Source organism: Homo sapiens, chromosome 14 (assembly GCF_000001405.40).
Source record: "Homo sapiens chromosome 14, GRCh38.p14 Primary Assembly".
NCBI lineage: Eukaryota > Metazoa > Chordata > Mammalia > Primates > Hominidae > Homo > Homo sapiens.
The window spans coordinates 89,163,017-89,184,519 of record NC_000014.9 but is presented as its reverse complement, the minus strand read 5'-3'; the positions used below and the strand labels follow the sequence as shown (position 1 = coordinate 89,184,519).

Sequence of the window (21,503 nt, the reverse complement as noted above, 5' to 3'; positions counted from 1 at the left end):
TCCAGTAGGAACTTGGTGACGACTGGCTTCCTTTCCTAGTTTTCCTCTCTGCTGGCCATGCGCCTGATGCTTACATGTTCTGAGTATTTGGGCAGAGGACTCTGTCATGCCACACTCTCCCCAGGGGTGCTTTTCTTCCTTGATTGGCAGATGGCTTGACAACCATGCTAGGGTTAAGAAGAACTTGCGCTCCCTAACTTGGATTTGCTCTGCTCCTGTTCCAGGGCTTCCCTCATCTTTGTCCAACTTTACGTGTTTTGGGTGTTTTTGCTGCAAGGGTGGCTCTGATATGACATGCTATGCACAAGGGGAGCAGAAGCACCATAACAGCATCTGTTGCTCTTCCAGCAACTCTGTCACCAGGAAGATGGCTACATTCTTCCAGCATGGTCTGGTTTCTGTCCCATTCTGTTCCTTATGGGTTTTCAGCTCCTCTGAAGTAGAGAAAGCACAGGCCGCCTCAGGATTCCTCTGTGGATGTTGATCATGTTGATGATGACGATATTGATGACCAACATGTATTTTCCAAATACTCGTGCCTTCCGTAACTCAGCTAAGTCTCCAGAGACCCTGGGTAAATATCATTTTTGTCCCCCATCTTACTTAAGGAGTTTAAGTAGCTTGCTCAGGGGACACGATCAATAATTGACAGAGATGAGATGTAGACCTAGGTTGGTTTGCAGAGCCTGGCTGTCAGCTGCTGCAGCGCAGGGCACTTCTCTGCTCAAAACCCTTTAATGGTTTTCCCACTACCCATAGGATAAAGTCCAAACACATCTCATTTCTGCTAGGATTGTGTGCTGTCCAAAAGCAGCCTTTTAGTTCTTGAGCACATTCTGCATCATTAAAAAATCACTTCCAGGTCTTTGTATGTGCCATTTTTCTGCCTTTGAACTCCAGTTTAGTTGACACTTCCTACAGGAAGGAAGCCTTCCCAAATACCCCTTAGTTTGGGTTAGGTGTCTCCATCCTTTCTGCCTCTAGGCCCCCTGTCCTAGCATGTACCATAGTATATTTTCATTGCCTCCTTAATTCATTCTCTCTCTCTCGCTCTATCTCCCCCTCCCTCTTGCTTGTAGTTACCTTATATCCCCATCATCTAATATATAGGAAAGTACTTGGTAAAAGTTTTAGTGACTGTATATGGGAGTGTAATAATTTTTACTGACGTGAATTACAACTGTATTAGAGATTTTAAATATTTCTGTTATTTATCAGCATGGTTCATTATATCAGACTAAGTTGTTGCTCTACCTGAGATCCCTAGTGACGGATATATTAGATCAGAATTCAACTGAACCTGTGGCTATCTGACCATTTCTAGGAGACTGCCGTACACCACAATTATGGAAACCCTCTCCCACAATCCCCAAAACAGGCAAACAAAAAGCCTATCGTTTTAGACAACACACATAGATTTCATCCAAAGGATCTATCTACAAGAGTTCTGCTGTCTTCTACATATGTCTGTCCTTGAGAATTATTGCTATTTTTCCTCCTATATTTTCTTCTGGAAGTTTTATCGTTTTAGTTCCTACATTTAGGTGTATGATCCATTTCTAATTTTTATATGTGGTATGAGGTGTAAGGCTCAAGGTTCATTTTTTTCCCAAATGGATCTCTGGTTGTTCTAACACTTGCTTTCCCCTCCTTGCATTATCTCAGTACCCTTGTCAAAAATCCGTTGACCACATGCGTGTGAGTCTATTTCCGAATGCTCTTCTGTTCGATTGGTCTATATGTCTAGACTTACGCCAGTATGAGAGTGTCCTGGTTCCTGTAACTTTATAGGAAATCTTGAAAATCAGATAAGATAAATTAGGTAATATAAACTTTAGACATTCTTCCTTATAGAGAATTCATCAACTGTGTAAGACATGATAATTCGCTGCATACCACATTCTAACAGTTCTGTGATTTAAAGATACTTGGTAAGTCTCCTGCCTCAGATAAGGTGGTCTGTTAGCGGAAATCAGGCTGATAATCAGGAATGGTAGGAGCTACTGATCTGGGTCTGCCTGCTCTCACAATTAATTAGGGTAAGTGACGGGGGAGATTATGGAACCCTGGACTGTAATAGTAGTACTGACTTAGGCGAGAGTTTCCATTCTGTCACCCATCCCACCTTTTGTAAGACCTAGTAACAAAGGCCTTACGCAAACCAGGAAAATAAATGGCAAAAATTATTAGCAAGAAGTGCAGAATGCCCAAAGAATTGACAGTCTGTAAAATTACCCCGTATTCAATAGTGGACATTCATCCTACATGATGTTTGATTCAAGGTTTGAAAACATGTCCTTAGATACCTAAAAATTATGTAAGTAAAAAGTATGGCAATGTGTTTTATGAAAAGCATTTATTCTACCTATATAATATTGGCTTACACACCTAATGTCCAGAGTGGTTTTCATTTTGGAATACATAATTTTCTAGAGCCTTTTCAACGGTCTTTGTTTGAAAAAGCACTATTTACCCACCTTGCCACTATCTGAGACTGTGCCAGGGACTATATGGGCACAGCCAGAGCTCTGGGGAGTCTTGAACCCATGATGGTAGACAGGGTCTTAGAAGAACAGTGTTCGGAGAGGGAAACAGAGATCCACAGACCTGCACAGAGTCACACAAGAGAACTCAGATGAAAGCTCACCCGTGTTCTCACTTAGTGATGCTCCCCTGCCCCTCAGACGTAGGGAGGGTTTTTGGTAGATGTAGCAGATGGCAGAATATTAGCTTGGACCAGATGAAATTGCTGTTTGGAGGGTTAGAAAAGGTTACATCAGGGATTCCCTGCGGTTCTCCTCTTAGGTAACCCTCAGACAAAATCAGGCTGGTGTGGAGATCTTGGAGTTTGTATGGAGAATGGACAAGATCTGATGGTTGCTGGTGAAAGGGGAACTTAGGGTTGCTCCAGGGATGCGTGTGTTTAGGAGAAGGTGGGATGAGGAGCGACTTCTCAGGAGATTTGCTTGAGAGGATACCCCGGGGAGGGGCCTTTCCTCAGGCCACGAGGATCGCCTGGGGGGATGAACTGTGTGGTGCGTGCTGAGATGCCAAGTAGCTTTTAAAATCGGCTTTTACGAGAGATAATTTGGGTCATATTTTTCCCCTTGTTGGATTAAGGATAAATGGAAAGATGTTCTGAGCTTCTGCCCATGGCAAAGCATGGGGAGGTGCTTTTGTTGGTCACCAGGTGTCTTTCCTACAGTGTTGGGGTTTTTGAGTTGTTGTTAGGTTCTGACTGAAGGTAAAAGGTTATGTTTAATAAATGTGAGAAAATACTATTTGAAGCCTACTTTTGAAAACTCACTTTTTTTTTTTAACCTAGGCATTAATCCTTTGGTTGCGAGCTACTAGTCTGATTTTTACTTACCAGATTATCTTTCTGTCTGTCTTACTCTCTGGGTATCTTTTTCTGTCTCTGTTTCCCCGTGTGTGTGTGCACGTGTGTGTGTGCATGTCTGTATGTGCAGGTGTACGTACGTGTCTGCATGTGTGTGTGTGTGCGCGTGCATGACTGTGTGAGTGTGTGTCTGTGCATGTCTGTGTGACTGTGTGTGTGTGTGTGTATGTGCACGTGTGTGTGTGTGTTTCTCTCTGTCTCTGCCCTCTGTCTCTCTCTCTCTCTTATTGGTCTATCCAGAATTTCTGACTTGGAACGGAAATCTTCACAGTTGAATTCACGTGCGGTGTCTTTCTCCCCTTTGCTTTTTCAGTTCCTCCAGGAGTGATCCAAAATGGAGCGCGGGTCCTGAGCCGAGGGCTGTTTCCTGGCGTGCGGCCGCTGCCAATCACTCCCATTGGGGTGACAGCGGCCATGAGGTAAGTGGGGAGTGCGCTGGGCAGAGCCAGCCTGGGGAGTGGGAAGGGCAGCTTTCTGTCCACGGGGTCCCTTCTGGAGACAGAGAGGAGCTGCTTCGAACTAGTGACAGCAATAAACCTGGTTTGCGTGCTCAGAAATGTGAAAGTAACCCCAAGAACTCCCAATCCAAATGCCCCCTTCTCTTTCTCGGGCCACCAGATGATCCTGGTCTCTTTACAGATGAGGAGATGGAGGCAAGTTAAGTTTTTTATTCTAAGAAGGCAGGGTAAGAGGTGGGCAGAAGAAAACAGAAGGCAGGATATTAATTGGATTCTAGGCTAACGGGCCTAGCGCAAGACCCAGTCCTGTCCCTCCCCTGTCCTGTGACTCTGGGCTCAGTTCCTTCATCTGTGAAACTCCTGCCTCCTACCAGGGGTTGCGGGGAAAATCAAATGCAAAATCAGATGTGAGGCGAGCTTTGGTACGTGGTCTATAAATAGCAGGTGGCATCATTCCCCTGCTTCCAAGAATGAGGCCAGCTGCCAAACCGCATGAACCCTTCCTTGGGACATTTCTCTCCTCCATGCTCTCCATCTCCACTGTCAGCCCCGGATCAGGGTCCACCGCCAGCCTGCGGCCCTCATAGGCACCATTGGCGGAGCCTCCTCCCATCCGCCAGCTGCTTCTACACCCACTCCTGCCCATCCATCCACCACTGCCAGACCAGTTTCCTAACTCCGTGCCCCTCTAGCTGTCTGCAGAAGCACCTTCTGTGACTGCCCCTGCATCACCCTGATAGTCCTTCCTTCTCCTCGAGCCAAATGTGTTCCCCAAATATGCCCAGTATTGGCCCATCTTATTCATACAGTTTTGTCTGCATAGATTCCCCTCACCCTCATATGTAAGGCAGCACGTCCTTCAAAATCTGACACAAAAGATGATCCCTTCCCAATGCTTTTTTTAATGTGGTCTGGGAACCAGCATCAGAGAAACTTCTCTTTGCCGTGAACCGATTAGCCCCATGCTTTAGCCCTTCAATGAGTGACCCTGTATGGTAGCAGTTTCTCTGTGTGTCCCTTTCTGTCCTGGGTGCTTTGTGTCCTGAGGATGAGGGCTAGCTCTCAATCAGTTGTCTGATGCCGCATCACTATTGCATGTGCCAGGTCCTGGTTGCTTGTTTAGAAAAAGCCTGTCTCACTGAGCTGCATCCCTTGAAGGTACCATCCCTCTCCTTCTGCGTTTACGGATCAAGTTTGCACCTGAAGGCCATTTTGCTTTCATAGTGTTTCATGTCCAAAAGGAAACCAACCCAGAAAGTGTGTTTAGCTGGGCCTGAGGGAGAAGCAAGGTCAAACTCCCCTGCCGCGTGCAGCTTCTCCACGAGCTTGTCTTTTAACTCCTCCTGCTGTTGTCAGGACAAGTCGCATAATCTTCAGAGCAAAGGTCTATAGGTTCTGATAAGATGGGAAGTTGTTAGCAATTAGAATAGCAACAAATTATAAAACCACTTATCATTTCTACTAATCTGACAAGGGGATATTTTCCAAAAATACATGGAAAGGTTTTTCTTGTACCTCCCCGGTATCTTTCCTGGCTACTCTCAGGTCAATAATTCTTGAGTTCCTAAGTGGTAAGCCTCTTTCCATGAAGCCAAAATTCCAATGCTCTTACCTCACATTTATGAAAAAGACATACTCTGTTTTTCATTCTTTCTTAAAATCTTTCCTGTGTTGCCTCATAGTTTACCTTCTTGGTTGAGAAGACTTGGAGACTGTGAACTATTTTTGCTTGGAGCAACAATGTATTTTTATTAGCAGATTCTAAATATAGACTTACAGTTTATCCTCTTGACCATTTTTTTTAGTGCCTTCAAGAGTAGCTTTCACTATGGGCCCAGCCATACCTTATAGAAGGGCACAGAAAAGCCAGGCGGACAACAGGTGGACCTTCAACAGGAGCCGCCTTCTCATTTTAATTCTTACTCTCATGGCATTTATGATGACAAATTTTACTGATTAGTTCCCTCTTGAGGTGTTATTTCAACTACCGATGGTTTCTTTCTAGTTAGAGAATAACAAAGCACTGCAGCAAACAGTCTTGTTTCTGTTGAAAGTTGCCACTCATGCAGTCCACTGAGTGCCTCAGCTGGGCTCCTTCCAGAGTAAAAGAAAACAAGACAGCCTCTGAGCCAAACTTGTGTATCAGACAGGTTCAGTAGGGAGACAGAAACCACACCAAGTAATTGAACAGAGAGACTTTAATGTTAACCAGGGCTGGGTGTGGTGGCTCATGCCTATAATCTCAGCACTTTGGGAGGCTGAGGCAGGAGGATCACTTGAGGCCAGGAGTTCAAGACCAGCCTGAGCAACATAGGGAGATCCCAGCTCTACAAAAAGTTTAAAAATTCGCCGAGGCCGGGCACATTGGCTCACGCCTGTAATCCCAACACTGAGAGGCTCCGGCGGGTGGATCACTTGAGCTCAGGAATTTGAGACCAGCCTGGGCAACATGGCGAAAACTTATCTCTATTTAAAAAAAAAAAAAAAATGACCTGGGCATGGTGGCACACACCTGTGACCTAGCCACTCTGGAGGCTGAGGTGGGAGGATCCCTTGAGCCTGGGAGGTCAAGACTGCAGTGAGCCGAGATTACTCCACTGCACTCCAGCCTGGGTGACAGAGTGAGACCATGTAAAAATCAAAATGATTAGAAAGAAAGCAAAGCTGTGAACCAGGTAGGAAGTTATTAACTAGGTAACTGAAAGGGTAAAAGATGACTCAGGGTATCATGGAGAGAGTCATTGCAGGAGGCAGCTACCACCTCTAGGGTTGACGGAACAAAGGGAAGAGGTTGGAATGATCACCCCATGGAGCTGAAACTCACCTTTGCGTGGGGGGCAGGGACTAGGAAGCAGCCTCTGATGGTGCTGGTGCCCCTAAGGGAACACAGTTCTGCAAGTGCTGGAAAAACTGCAAACTGGGTTTGGCACCTCCGAGAATGAATGCTGCTGCTGAGGTACAGAGGCATTGCTGGGTGGCACAAGAACAGGAAACAGGCAGGAGCCAGTTCTATCTTTCTCCACCACCTTCTCAGTCTCTCTATGGCACCCCCTGGTGGCGGAGCCTCACATGGAACCCAGTGGTAAAGTCCAGCCCCAGCCCCAGCCCCAGCCCCAGCCCCAGTTTGGGAAACAGAGTAGAAGGGTGGGTTTGAGACTGAGTGGCAATAGCTTTGTAATGGCACAGCTTGCTTCATCTCTGTCCACTACAAAAGGATGTATAGTCTAATTAAGGAGTGACTTTCCTGAGCATCATAGGAGTTTTGAACAAAATCATTTTGGTAAAATGTGAAACCATAGTTTGCAGAAGCTAGGCAAGTTACGATTTGCATAAACAGATAACCAGTAAAGAGGCCGGGCACGATGGCTCACACCTGTAATCCCAGCACTTTGGGAGGCCGAGGCAGGCAGATCACCTGAGGTCAGGAGTTCAAGACCAGCCTGGCCAACATGGTGAAACATCATCTCTACTAAAAGTACAAAAATTAGCTGGGTGTGATGGTATGTGCCTGCAGTCCCAGCTACTCAGGAGGCTGAGATGGGAGAATCGCCTGAACCCAGGAGGTGGAGGTTGCAGTGAGCCGAAATTGTGCCATTGCACTCCAGCCTGGGCAACAGGGCAAGACTCTGTCAAAAAAAAAAAAAAAAAAAAAGAAAGAAAGAGAGAGAGAGATAACCAGTAAAGAAAACCATTGTGCATTAGCAGTTAATTGTCCAAATACCAATTCTGAACTTGCCCCCCTCAGTTTTAAGGGAAATTAGGGGAAGAGGGGTAGTAAGCTCTGGAACATTAGGGGTACTTGCTTGTAGTATCTTTGCCCTCTTTTTGTAGGGCAGGTAGTAGACACTGAGATGCTTTTGGAAAGAAGGAACACAAACATAGCTATGGAGGCATCTGCCTAATCAGTGTCTGTGTAAAACCCATTAAGAAGTGCTTGGGGAAAAACATCTTGTTTTGCATTTTCACATTCATCATAATTTTAACATTTTTAATTTGGCCACATGTCAGTGGAACCCAAACTCAGCCAAGGCTAAAAAGGAAAGCAGTGCAGTGGAGACTAGAACAACACAGAATGTTATCTCCCAGACCACGTGGCAGTGCCCAAGTATTCTGTGTGTGCTCAGATGTTTACAGGGGTTGCTGCCCCAGTCTGTTCAGCTGGGGCCCAGGGAGGGCGGGAGAGTCATTAGCACCCACTAAAGACCAATTTCCCACTCTCTTTTGTGTGACAGGTTTTCCTTGTGAATCTAAGCGACTTCTCCTTAAGTGAAAATATTTGTCTTTCAGGGATTTTTTTTTCCTCCACAGAGTGGCAAAGGCCATGTTTGTTTGTCTTAACTCTGAAACTGTTATTGACATAGATGAAGTGTTACTTTTATTAGCTGATCATTACACAGCTTCTATTTGCCAGGTTCCTTTGCATATAATTATGATGTGAAATCTCCTTGTAAGAGTATCTGTCAATAGTGTAATTGACTTTACGGTGTTGACTTTTTACTCAATAACCTCCAAGATTGGCCCATCCTTAGACGTTGGAAACCTGCTTATTTTTAAATTTGCCTGGGCGTCAAGTCCTCAAGACACATCATCCTCAAAATAACTACTCACACATCTTAAAGTTTTATGCCTGTGTCTTCGGCTGCTTTCCCAGGAAAATCCCTTGCAGAGATTGCATTGAATGGAACCCATGATGGATAGCCCTGGGAGAGCTGTTGCTGGCCTTCTTGGGAAGGAGGAGTCCCAGGTTTCTTACATTCACAGCATCGTGGGCTGTCCCACACCCTGGGTTGGGTCACAGCAACCTCCCTGGATCTCAGCCACCTTGCTTTTAACCTTTAGGGCTCTTTTTGATCCCTACATGCCTCATCAGGTGGCAGAAAAGAATGACATGTCCAGGGCTCGCTGGAGGATTGGGAAAAAGCTGATGTGGGGAAGGCCTGTTCTGTAGCAACTGAACCAACAAAATACGTACGTGAACTCAGGAACCACATTTCCTCGGTCCATCTCCTGCAGCCGTGTGACCTCAGGGAAGTGCCCATGGGCTTCTCAAGAGGAAACGTGTGTCTGCCTCATGTGTTATTTGGATTCACACACAGCTGTGTGCCCAGCACATAGTCAGCATTCTGTAGGTGTTTGATAAATAAGTAACATGGAAAGCCTCATGGATTCACCTAGCCTGTCTCTCACAGACCTTCCCAGGTTTCCTTCCTGAGCACTGGAACCTCAGGTACCCCAAAACCTTAGGAGAAGGCTTAAATTAAATTCATGCCACCTTTCAGCACAGAGTACATTTGTTGGCAAAGCCATTGGCTTTGAAGAGTGCTGGCCATAATCTGGACTACAAGTCTAGATCACCCTATTTGTTGCCAAATTATATGAGAGTTTCATCCAATCACCGTCTAAGGCTGCTTAATTTTATTTGGATCTCCAGCAACCTCAAGTGAAAAACTGCACTTCCCATGGAACATGAAGCAAGTCAGGCATTAATGGTCTGACTGTAGTAGCAAACATTAATTCTTAAGGTCATGTCAAAATAGAATCATCGGGAAAACCCATCTCTCAGCCTAAGTTCTGCTCCGGATCAGCTGTCTTTATCTCCTCCCTTGAGAAGATGTTTGTTTCAGTAGTGTAGGAAGGTGGCAACCTTTAGTATTAAGATAGGGTTGTTGTCCAATTATGTAACTTGAGGGTAAATTGGCTGCTGATCTTTTCTAGTGTTGTATTTTGTTCTGTATGTAAAGACCAAACACCTGTTGGCCTTTGTCTTTGAAATCATGGTCTTTGAAGGCAATTACAAAACTCAGTATTAGATTTTGCTTTGTAGTGGGAGGAGAAGAGAAAATACTAAAGAGCTAGGTTTAAGGGAAAGTGGGGAAAGAATCCCAGTTACACAAAGCATGCACTGAATTCCCTCCTGGGCCCATTTCAGCGAGCGTAGTTTTTGTTTTGGGCCCTTCTGGTCCAGAAATTTAAACAACGACCAGCAAACTGTGAAATTTGATCAACATTCTAGAGCTGCTCCTCATATTTCATATCAATGACGTTCGTTAATGCCTTTGAAAGTCCTGGTGGCTCCTTTTCATGTTGTACCTAGAAATCCTCCAAACTCCCAATGATTCTGGACTGTTGTAAATGCAAAACAATTCATGGAGGAGAGTTGTAGGATCACTCCTATTTGTGTTGTGTGATCTCTTGCAAAAAGGAAATCATGTTTATCTCAGTGGTTTAGGGGAGCAGTTTGCAGCTCATGGGAGAAAATTGTGGTCCCCCTGGATATTACCACTGAGTTAGAACTCTTAGAGCTGACCACCTGGCCCCTGGACGTCCTTTACCTTTTTAGCCATGCATCTGCCAGATTGCAGAATTCTAGGGCTGCTGGAAGGGATCTTAAACCTCACCTTGATTTTACAGCCGAGGCACAGGTAGAATTAGACTGGATTTTGTGAAAAAGGTAGGGAAGAGCTGTAAATTAACAAGTTAAATCAGTTTAATGACCTAAATGGCATCTCTCTCCTAGGTAGAATTTGATACCTGGTGAGAAGTATTTTATGCAACTTGTATTAAATGATTCTCTGCATGCTCCTTAGTATTTCCTATCATTCTTCGTAGTGTTCATCTTTACAGTTTGGGGAGGCTACTGTCTTTTTATTTTTATTTATTTATTTATTTGAGACAGGGTCTCGCTTTGTCACCCACACCAGAATGCAGTGGCACAATCACGGCTCACTGCAGCCTCATCCTCCCGGGCTCAAGTGATCCTACCACCTCTCAGCCTCTCAAGTGTTTGGGACTACAGGCACTCACCGCCACTCCTGGCTAATTCTTCTATTTTTTGTAAAGATGGCATCTTGCCATGTTGCCCAGGCTGATCTCGAACTCCTGGGCGCAAACAATCCACACACCTCAGCCTCCCAAAGTGCTAGGATTACAGGTGTGAGCCACAGTGCCCAGCCCTGAGTTTTTTAAATAACTAGAATAATACTGTGTCTTTCTTAACTTTGTTTTTTTAAAAACTCATATTAGGTTTCTTTGTTTTGTGACATCTAGCTGTAATTGAGTCATTTTCACTGCTATATAATATCCCATTATGTGACTATACTATCATTTTTTTAAAAAAGACATTTGGATCATTAATAGTTCTTTGATATTACAAGCAGTGCTACTGTGGAAATTCTTATACATGTCTCAGATTCATTTAAGATGTCTAGGAGTGAAATTGTTGATTTATAGGGTATGTACATGCTCAGCTTTACAAGGTAATGCCACATTGTTTTGTAAAGTGCTTGTTTCCAATTACACTGCCACCAGCAGAGTGTGATGGTCCCTAGTCCTCCACATCTTCACACACATTTAGAATTGTCATGCTTTGTCATTTCAACCAATCTGGTAGGTACGTAATGGTATCTCATTGTACTTTAATTTATATTTCCCTTTTTACTAAAGATGTTGCACAGTTTTTCATATATTTAAGGGGCTCTTTGAATATATTATTTTATGGATTTCCTGTTTAGCATTTTGCTCATTTTTCTACTGGGTTCCCTTTTTTCTTCTCTTCATAGGAGTTCTTGGTATAGTCTACATATCAATCTTGTATTGACTACATATGTTGCAGATTTTCTAAGTTTGCGGATGGTCTTTTCACTCTCTTTCAATTTCCATTCTTATTAATCACATTTATCAATCTTTTTATGAAATCTGGTGTCTTAAAAATTTATTTCCCTACTCTATGGTCATATAGTCTCCTATAGTATTTTTCTAAAAGATTGAAAGTTTTTTGCTTTCACATTTAAGTCTTATTATTTGAGTCTCTAATCCATCTGGAGTTACAGTGTGAGATAAAGATACACTTAAATATTTTTCAAATAATAAACAGTTATCTCAGCATCACTTATTAAGTAGCCCCTCTTTTTCCCACTGATATGAAATGCTAGCTCTGATATATATCAGGTTTCTTTCTATTTGTGGGTTTATTTTGGGGACTCTTGGTCCTATTTCATATTTTCCTGTACCATGGCAATACCACAGTGTCTGAATTATGATATCTTTGTAAGTTCTTAAGTCTGGGAGCACATGTTCTCTCACCTTGTTCTTTTTAAAGTGTCTTTGCTATTCTTGGCTCTTTGCAGTTGCGTATAAACTTTATAATCAGCTTGATAAACTGCAAGGGAGTGCGCGAACAAGAAAAACAAAGAAAAGACACCCTATTATGGTTCCTGACTAGAGTGGTATGGAATCTCTACATCAATTTGTTGTGGATTAATACTCCTATATTGAATGCTAGGTGCAGTGGCATGCACCTGTAGTCCCAGCTACTCAGGAGGCTGAGGCGGGAGGGTTGCTTAAAGCCCGGGAGTTTGAGGCCAGCCTGTACATAGTGAGACCCTGACTCTTAACAACAAAACCTCCTTTTTGCATCTTTCAGTCCATGAGCATGTATAGTTCTCCATTTACTTAAATCTTACAGTGCCTCTCATTGTAGCTTTATGATTTTTTTCCCTAAAGTTCTTATGCCTGTTCAGTTAGATTTATTCTACATGGAATAGATTCTTTTTCATGCTGTTATAAATTTTACAAATTAATATGATGTATTTTCTACTTGCTGCTAATATATGGAAATGCAATTTATTTCACATTATTGATTTTTTTCCAGCAACCTTGCTAAATAAACTGCATTAGTAACTCTAACAGTTTATAGATTCTTCTGTGCACAAATCATATCTTTTGTCAATACTGGTGGGGTTTTTTTCCCTAATTATTGTATCTTTTCTTTTTCCTGTCCTATTGCACAGTCCAGGACCTCTGAATAGAAGTTATGATAACAGGCATCTTTGTGTTATTTCATATTTTAAATGGACCCATGTTACTGATTCACAGTTGATAGGACATTAGTTAAAGGTTTCTTAGGAAATATGCTTTATCATAACAAAATTATTCTATTCATACTTTGCTGTGATATTTTTATCATGAGTGGTTATTGAGTTTCATAAAAAAAAGTTTGCATTGTTAAGATAACTATAAAATTTTTCTTTCTTTTTTTTACTGTGGTGAATTATACTATAAATTTGTCGTTTTGAACAAAACTTGCATTTCTGAATATACTTGCTTATGATACTTTTTTTTACATATTACTGGAGTTGCCAAGCTAATGTTTTATTTATGAATTTTGTGTCTTTGTTTATAACCCAGGTTTCTCTAGTTCTGTCTTTATCTAGTTTAGTGTCAAGATTACATTAGCCTCAGAAAAGGAGTTGAGGCGTATTCATTCTTTCAGAGTTTATCTAAGACTGGAAATATCTATTGCTTAATGTTTGTTGGAACTTGCTTGCAAAATAGTCTGGCACTGATGTTTTCCTTGTGGGATGATTTTTAACTATTGATTTAATTTACGTAATGATAATAGGATGACTTGTGTTTTTAAATTTCCTTTTGAATTTCTTTTGGCAACTCTAGGGGTTTTTCTTTTCAAATATATTGGCAAAGAGTTATTCATAATATACCTTGTCATCTTTCAAAACATCTTTTGTAACTATGTCCCTTTTTTATTCCTTATTTCATTTGTATCATTTCTTTTTTGCTTAATTTCGCCATAGATTTTTTTTCAAAGAATCAACTTTTTAAATTAGCTCTACTTTGCATTTATTCTCTATTCCATTGATTTCTGCTATTTATAATTTCCTTTCTTTTTTGGATTTATTCTGTTTTTCTTTGTCTAGATTGTGTACTTTTATTTCAAGCCTTTCTTCTTTTTCTATAGAAGTTTAAGGTTATAATTTTCCTCACCCTACTGCTTATTACATTCTATAGGTTTTGGTATATTTATTTTAATTATTGTTAAGGTATAAGTATTTTCTAATTGCCATTTTGATTTTTTCTTTGACCCATGGGTATTTTTAAAATGTGTTTTTTGAATTTCCACACTAAAGAGAAGATGGTTGTTTTTAATTTTTGTTTTCAGTTATCTCTCAACATTGACTATTAATTTGAATACATTGTGGTCAGAGAATTTATCTGTACATTATTGCTTCTTTGAAATTTGTTGACATTTGCTGTGTGGTCTAGTATATATCAGTTTTTAAAAAATATTTCAGCCAGGCGTGGTGGCTCACAACTATAATCCCAGCACTTTGGGAGGCTGAGGTGGGAGATTGCGTGAGGCCACAAGTTCAAGACCAGTCTGGTCAACACAGTGAAACCCCATCTCTATCAGTTATAAATGAAAAATAAATAAGTAGATAAAAATAAAAAAGATGTCATGTGTGCATCAGAAAATATGTCTTTTCCATTATTAGCACATGTTCTATGTTTATGTCAAATCTTCTCCATATGAAACTTTTGTGTGTGTGTGCGTGTCAGCTTGATCAATTGCATACTGAAAGGGATGCATTAAAATCTCCCATTCCAATGTAGATTTGACTGTTTCTTCTTGTACCTCTTTCAATTTTAGACATATATATTTTGAAGGTATTTTAATGAAACTGTGAATGTTTAGAATGGTTTTATCTTCCTGATGGGTTGAATCCTTAGACTGTTGAATGACTGTTTATCTGGAGTAATGATTTTTGCCTTGAAATCTATCTGATCTCATTTTAATATTGCTATACCAGCATAGCACAACTTGTTCCAGTCTTACTTTTAACCTGTTTTTCTTTATCCTGTTATTTAGGATTGTCTCTTGCAAACAGCACATGGCTTCTTTTTTCTTTTTTAAATTTGAGCTAATGATCTGTACCTTTTAGCTGAAGATTTTTAGCGCATTTTTATTGACATTTTTGGGTTTGGTTCTATCATCTCGTTTTACGTTTGTGTTTGCCCTATTTTTTCAGATTCTTTTTTGTTTCTAGCATTATTTTAAATTGATTCTCCTACTCCTCATTCCATTTTTCCCCTTTCTAATGGTTTGGAAGTTACCCATTCTGTTTTTCTTCATTTAGTGTTGATCCTAGAACTTTTAGCATGAATATTTTTAAGTATTTAAAGTTAATCAATATCTTTAACCTTCTGATCAATACAGGGCTCTGGGAATGCTTTAAATTCAGTTCTGTCCACCTCCCAATTGATATGCTACATTTCTCCAGTACTTTGGTTCTGGTTTTGTTTCTTTGTGTGTGTTTTGTGTGTGTGTGTGTTTTGTGAGTGTGTGTGTGTGTGTGTGTAACCACTTAGTCATTATTATTATTGTATTGTACAATCAATACTTGGCCACATTTTCTTTTCTTTTTTGAGACAGGGTCTCACTCCTGTTGCCCAGGCTGGAGTGCAGTGGCACGAACACAGCTCACTGCAGCCTCAGCCTCCTGGTTTCAAATGATCCTACCACCTTAGCCTCCCGAGTAGTGGGGACTACAGGCATGCACCACCATGTTCAGTTAATTTTTTGCATTTTTGTAGAGATGGGGTTTTACCATGTTGCTGGGCTGGTCTTGGAACTCCTGGGCTCAAGAGATTCACTTCCCTCAGCCTCCCAAAGTGCTGAGATTACAAATATGAGCTACAGCACCCAGCCTACATTTTCTGTACTGATCATTTCTGCTTACATCTCAGATCTTCCATTTTGGATCATTTTTCTCTTTCCTAAAATATATTCTTATGAAATTCCTACAGTAAGGGTTTATTTGTAGTTAAAGTCCTGAATTTTTGCCTGAAAAGTTATATTTTGCCCTTACCCTTAGAAGTTAGTGTTACTGAATATAAAATTCTAGATCGACAGTTATTTTCTCTCTTGAGAATATTGTTCCACTTTCTTCTGCTTCACTTGTTTTATCTTAATTAGTACTTTAGGCGATACGTTTTCTTTCTACTACTTTAAAAATCTTTTTGTCTTTTTTGTGTCTGCTCTAAAGTTTGACTGTGATGTGTCTCCGTATGGACTTTATTTTTTTTATCCCGCATGGGACGTGTTGGCTTTCTGAATCTGAAGATTGGTACCGTCATCAAAACTAGAAAATTCTAGCCATTTTCTATTCAAGTATTGAATCTTCTCCATTCTTTCTTTTCACTGGAACTCCAGTTAGGTTTCCGTTGGTTCTTCTTTCTGTGTTCCGTCTCATCCAACCTTTCTTCCATATTCTCTATCTCTGTGTCTTTCTGCTGCATTTTATGTAGTATCTTCAGGTCCATCTAACAATTCACTAATTTTTCTCTTCAGCTACATTGAGTTTTTTAGGAGACCTTCAGTGTAGATTAATTAATTTATTTTTGAGGCAGGGTCTTGCTATGTTGCCCAGGCTAGTCTTGATCCCCTGGGCTCAAGCGCTTCCTCTTCAGCCTCTTGAGTAGCTGAGATTACAGGTGTGAGCCACCACACTTTGCATTGATGTTTTTAATTTCCAGGATTATATGTTTTATCTCTAGAAGTTCTGTTTAGTGCTTTCCAATATAGCCTGATCTTCCTTTCTAGTATTTTTCAATTCCCTCCTTTATTTAAACATACTAACTTTACATTCTGTAACGAATTATTTCAACATTTATAGTCTTTGCCGTTCAGATTCTATCATTTCTCTGTTCTCTTGTCTCTTTGCTTATGGTGGCTTATTCCCATTGTGTTTAATGTTTTTAATTTTTGTTTTTTTATTATGAACCCATGTTCTTGAAATCTTATCTGTGGAAATTCCTTGTGGCTTGGGTTTAAAGTATGTTCTTTCAGAGAGGATTTGCTTTTAAAACTTCGGTGGGGAGCCTGGGGGACCAGTATACCTGGAGCCACTTGAACGCCCTTAGAGGGTACACAGTAAGCAGGAAGCAGCCAGCATCAACCTTCCTGCTGCTCCCTTCCTGCCTCCCACTGAGTGAGTTTGGGTTCTTGTTCTACTGCGAGGGCAGACGTTCGCTATAGAGAAACTTTGGCTTTCTTCGTTGCCTAGTTGCCTGATTGCTCACACTGCAGGTTACTTTAAAATGTTTTATTTGTGTGTATGTCTCTATGGGTCTCTGAATATCCCTTATTTTCTAGTGAACTCAGCAATGCCTTTAAAACAAGTTACTGTACTTGATCTAGGATCTTTTATATTATAGTCAGAAGAGAACCTTCCAAATGTCTTTCTACCACTTGGCTGGAGGTGGAAGTCTTTGGTCATCTCTTCTCTTCCATGTCTACTTGCAGTTGATTTTCAAAAGAAGCTTTGAACTTGCTCCAGTCCCCTGCTTCTACAATCCCATTAATCCCATCTACTTTTCACATTTGGCAAAAGATCAGAGTCCTCAACTAAATCCCTGGGGAGGACAACTACCCTACATGATATCCTTTAGAATTAGAGCCATTAGTTCCAGAGAGACTCCTAGTGCACCAGGTAAGAGGCAGAGATGACACATGCTCATTATACTGTAGTGGAACCCCTAATTAATTGGTTAAACAAATGAACAAACAAACAAAAAATGGCAGATGGCCATGTCGTAAACCTACACCTTGACTTGTTAGCTGAAAGCCTGCTCATTCTGGGTTTGAACTAATGTGATTTCTCTTTTTATGTTTGATATTTTCCAACTATTTGACAAGAGAATGAGTACCAGGTTTTATCTGAGATGAATAGCACGTGGTTTTGTTGAGCCACATGCTTTAAACTTTTAGAGGCCCAGTAAAATCAGGTGGCTCTGATTTATGCTAATTGCAATATCGTTACACATAAATTCAGCTAAAACTGAAAAATTGCAGGCATTTCGGATGTATCACATGTTCACTTTAATGAATGATTTTTAAGAAAGTGGTTAGAAATTCACCTTCCAACATGTTCAGAATGGCTGGTTTCTTTTAAGCATTTGTTGTCCTGTAATGGCAATCCCTGCGGCGGGAAACATTTGACACCAAGTCAGTGCAGCTGGCTTGCACCATCGTGAATAACATTGCACCAAGTTATTAATAATTGAAGGAGCTTTTCACTTCCTGCTGAGTTTTGTGTGTAACTTATGGATTACATAATCCCAAGCTAAAATCTCAGGGAAGGTTAATTTCATCAAATGAGAAAGAGAGACATTTATATTTTAATTCTCACTCCCTGAAGTTATGTCTGTGTACCTGTTTTCATCCAGAAATATTATCAGTGGATGTATTGGTTTTCTGTCTTCATCACAGTAAACTTCCTTCTTCAGGAGTGACAGGGAGATATTTTGAATTCCTGCTTGAACCATCTTTGAGACTGTCCGGGCCACCCCACTCAACAACCATGGGGCTCTCTGAGCTTCTGTTTTTCTGTGAAATGGGTTAAGTAGGCCAGTGTTCCAATAGGGACTTGGGTCATGGACTCTGTTGGCATGCAGTCTGATTCTAGGTGGTACCGGAAACTCTGCCCCACACAGCATCAAATCAGGGGCTGTGGAATCATTCTCTTTTCTATTCTCCCTTTAATCCATGGGATCTCTTTAAGAAGAAAGTTTCCATTTGGATCCCCCTCTTTAATGCTGCTAATCTCCCTGTTTAAGAAAGAAAGAGACATTCTCAGGCTCGAAACCATTCCTCTTATGATAGTGTGGAGCTCACGTTTAACATCATTGCTTTGGTTCTAGAGTATTTCTCCCCCTCCCTAAAACTTTGATTTAAAAAATGTTCAAACTTAGGAAAAAAGGGAAAGAAAAGCACAATGAATAGCACAGACCCTTCACCTAGATTCACCAGGAATCAGCACTGTGGAGCACTTGCTTTATTTCTCACTCTCCCACTCGTGATTCTCCCCATCTGTGTTCAGAGAGGGATCATGTTCTGCTTAACTGTGGTAGTGACGTGAGTTGTAAGCCCCAAGTTATTTTTTAAAAGAAACATTCAGAACTGAATCCATTTATTAAAAGCTAAATATAGCCCACTTTACTCTTTCAAGTATACTTAGATTTACTATGAAACTGTTTGATGTTAGTTCAGTGGGTGAATTATTTTTGTATTTTACAGTAGTTCCCTCAAATGGCAAAAATTAAAAGGACCATACAACGAGACTTTCATTTTCGTTTGCTCTAATAACTATTAATAGCTAGCTGTATGATTAATTACATTTACCAAGTTTCACATTTGGTGACACCTCAAAGTAATCTTATCCCAGCCATCTTTATGCACCCAAGACACAGCCAAGAAATAGGAAGTCTGCAGAAAACAGATACGGAGGAGGCCAAACCCCAAAGCTCAGGGGCTGTGTTCACAGGCAAGCCCTGGAGGAACTCCTCTTGAAGGGCCTGTTTCCTCTGACTTGGTGCTGGGTTCCCATACGCCTCCCGATCCAGAATAGAAAGAGAAAACAAGACTGCTCAGAGTGAACAAGTCACAGCAGCAGGAAGTCGCAGGAATCGGACCACAAGTAAAAAACATGATCAGGCACCACAAACAGCCTTGCTCTGTGCTCAGGACAGTTCATTTAATCCTCACGCAGCCCCACAAGGTAGATGAGGAAGCTGAGTCTTCAAGAAGTAAAACAGCCTGCTCAAAGTCACCAGTAAGCAACACTGGGATATGAGCACAGGCGTGTGTGGCTTGCAAGCCAGGCTCTGTCTGTAAGGATTTAGGGGAGGTGGTGTGTATCTGGGATCACGGAGCACAGGACACAAGCTGGGACCCTTCTGGGTCTCACTGGGACTTCCGTGTACAAATGCACACATTGTAAGTGTTGGGGTTCATCAGGAGGCTCTCGGACATCTAGCAAAGGCTGAGTTTTGATAATGACCCTCATACATTTTGCTGGTGGACACGACAGTACGGAGTCTCTCCCCCAGCCTAAATTTAGCAAAATACCACCGGCCCTGGGGCCCCAGGAGAGCAGCTCCTTCGCCTCACTCCCTACTGCACCCTTTTCATTAGGGACTCTTTCCCTTCCCCTTTCACTTTCTATGTGGGATGCAGCTGAAGTCTCCCTGAGCCTCAAGGCCCATGAGGGTGACAGGAGAAAAGCCAGGGTAGAGATTGTCACTACTGTTATCTCACTGGTGGTCCTGACCCCACAGCCCTTCTACCAGTGCCGTATCCTCAGCGTGTGCCCGGTGAGTCATGGTGGTGGAGACCCACAGTCATTTCCCAAGCTTCATGCTCTCAGCCACGTGATTCCACCTGTGCCGCACTTCCTCAGTTTATCTGCTGTGTCCACCGTGCTGACACGGCGATAGCCACTGGGGGCCTAGCAGTAACCACACCCTGTCTCATGGAGCTAGCTCTCTAATGGGACACATGACCACACAGTTCATAATGATGGTGGGGAGTGCCCTCTATGGAGGGGATGTAAGAGTACTTACAGTTGGGGTCATCTAGGCAGGAAAAGTATGGTCATGTTCCCCAGAACTCTTAGAAATGGATCACGAGGTAGATGAGCTTACAGGAAACCGGGCCAGCATGGTGCCATAGAACAGTTCCCATCCCTGCCAAATTCTTCAGCCCTTGTGTCCAAGGTCAGATGCCTTGTCTTCCACAAAACATTCCCTGGCGTCCACCCTTCGTCCCCTTCAGCTACAAGTGACCCTCCTCTCCTGCAAGTATTCATCCTTCTGAAGGCTGGGCGCCAGGCACTAACAGACAGGCAGCTGCCTCCCAGACATAAGGAGCATGGGTCCTAACCAGGAATAAGCTTCACAGCCATTGCTGTCAGGCCAAGCCGTGGTCCAGGCACCTGCAGGCATTAATTCGTGTCCTCAGCCCCACACCCACGGGGAGCAGGTGTAGTTACTATTCCCACTTTCGCGATAAGGAAGCACAAGGAAAGTACATCGCTCAGATGTAAAGACACAAAGAAATAATCAGAGGTGTGATGAGTGCTACAGACGCCTTATAGGCATGGGTAGCAGGGACCTTGTTATAGGGAAATCACAAAGGAGGGTCGGTCTGGTGATGTAGCTAAGACCTCAAGTCTGAGAGTCAGACTTTGATTCCAGTCCCTGCTCCGCAAGTGATCAGTTGTGTGACTTTAAGTACATCACTGAACTTCTCCAGGCTTCACTTCGAGCCACTGTAAAATAAGGATGCTAATATCCACCTTACGGAGTTAAACATGGTCCTCTGCACAGACTTAGCAGAGCGCCTGGCAGGTGTTGAGTTCGGGAAGTCGTAGTTTATTGCCCTCTGGTCTGTGATGCGACCCTGGCTTGCCTCTCTGTTAGGCTGCAACATCGCTGTGGCAGTGTCTATATCCGATCCAACCCCGTGTCCCTCCCCCAGAACCCTCCCTAAGGTCATGCATTTCTGTTAGGCGCTCAGTGAGTATTTGTAGATTGCATGAACGAGGGAGGGAATGCATGAGTGAGTAGCTGTCACCACATGGCAGGTATCTTTGCTGAACACTGGTTTAGTCTTCTGACAAAAGCCTCCTAATGTAGCCGCTTCAGACGAGAGCAGGCTTTTTTCTCTGAAGTACCCAGCCAACATCGTCTGGCGGTGTCTGACTCTGTGGTGTTGGCGGGGACACGAACCAAGCACAGCTTGATTTTTATGGTTTAATGTAAGAGATGGAGCCTCCACCACTGTCGCTTCAGAAGATTGTTGTTTTGACGTCTCAGCCACACAAATGGAGTGAAACTGCCATTATAGGAGATAAGCAGGGGAGACTGAGGTGTCAGGATTTAGGACCCTGCCTTCAAAGCAGATCCACCTGTTGCCCCCACAGTTTGCGAGTGGCTCCATTGAACACAAAGGGACTGATGGTTGAATGCAGGCGGGCTGCCGGGTGCCCCCATCTGAGGACGTCTAACTG

The 21,503-nt window shown here is 42.3% G+C and overlaps 1 protein-coding gene across 2 annotated transcripts in view, besides 4 other annotated features; it reads left to right on the top strand.

Annotated features, from left to right (window-relative positions):
- FOXN3 (forkhead box N3) overlaps positions 1 to 21,503 on the top strand; it is a 462,989-nt gene that overhangs the window by 434,646 nt on the left and 6,840 nt on the right. For both annotated transcript variants that reach the window (NM_001085471.2, NM_005197.4), the window contains one exon: positions 3,714 to 3,819. In NM_001085471.2, the coding sequence (NP_001078940.1) occupies positions 3,714 to 3,819 (106 nt within the window). The remainder of the gene's footprint in view (positions 1 to 3,713; positions 3,820 to 21,503) is intronic.
- Positions 8,822 to 9,323: an enhancer, noted in NCBI's record as "H3K27ac hESC enhancer chr14:89641541-89642042 (GRCh37/hg19 assembly coordinates)". NCBI's record gives its function as "activates a minimal SCP1, AML or CMV promoter by ChIP-STARR-seq in naive H9 embryonic stem cells {active_cell/tissue: H9 hESC(naive)}" and the evidence as "EXISTENCE:reporter gene assay evidence [ECO:0000049][PMID:30033119]".
- Positions 18,598 to 19,529: an enhancer, noted in NCBI's record as "H3K27ac hESC enhancer chr14:89631335-89632266 (GRCh37/hg19 assembly coordinates)". NCBI's record gives its function as "activates a minimal SCP1, AML or CMV promoter by ChIP-STARR-seq in naive H9 embryonic stem cells {active_cell/tissue: H9 hESC(naive)}" and the evidence as "EXISTENCE:reporter gene assay evidence [ECO:0000049][PMID:30033119]".
- Positions 18,974 to 19,103: an enhancer, noted in NCBI's record as "active region_8847". NCBI's record gives its function as "activates an Ori minimal core promoter by ATAC-STARR-seq in GM12878 lymphoblastoid cells {active_cell/tissue: GM12878}" and the evidence as "EXISTENCE:reporter gene assay evidence [ECO:0000049][PMID:35858748]".
- Positions 19,304 to 19,353: an enhancer, noted in NCBI's record as "active region_8846". NCBI's record gives its function as "activates an Ori minimal core promoter by ATAC-STARR-seq in GM12878 lymphoblastoid cells {active_cell/tissue: GM12878}" and the evidence as "EXISTENCE:reporter gene assay evidence [ECO:0000049][PMID:35858748]".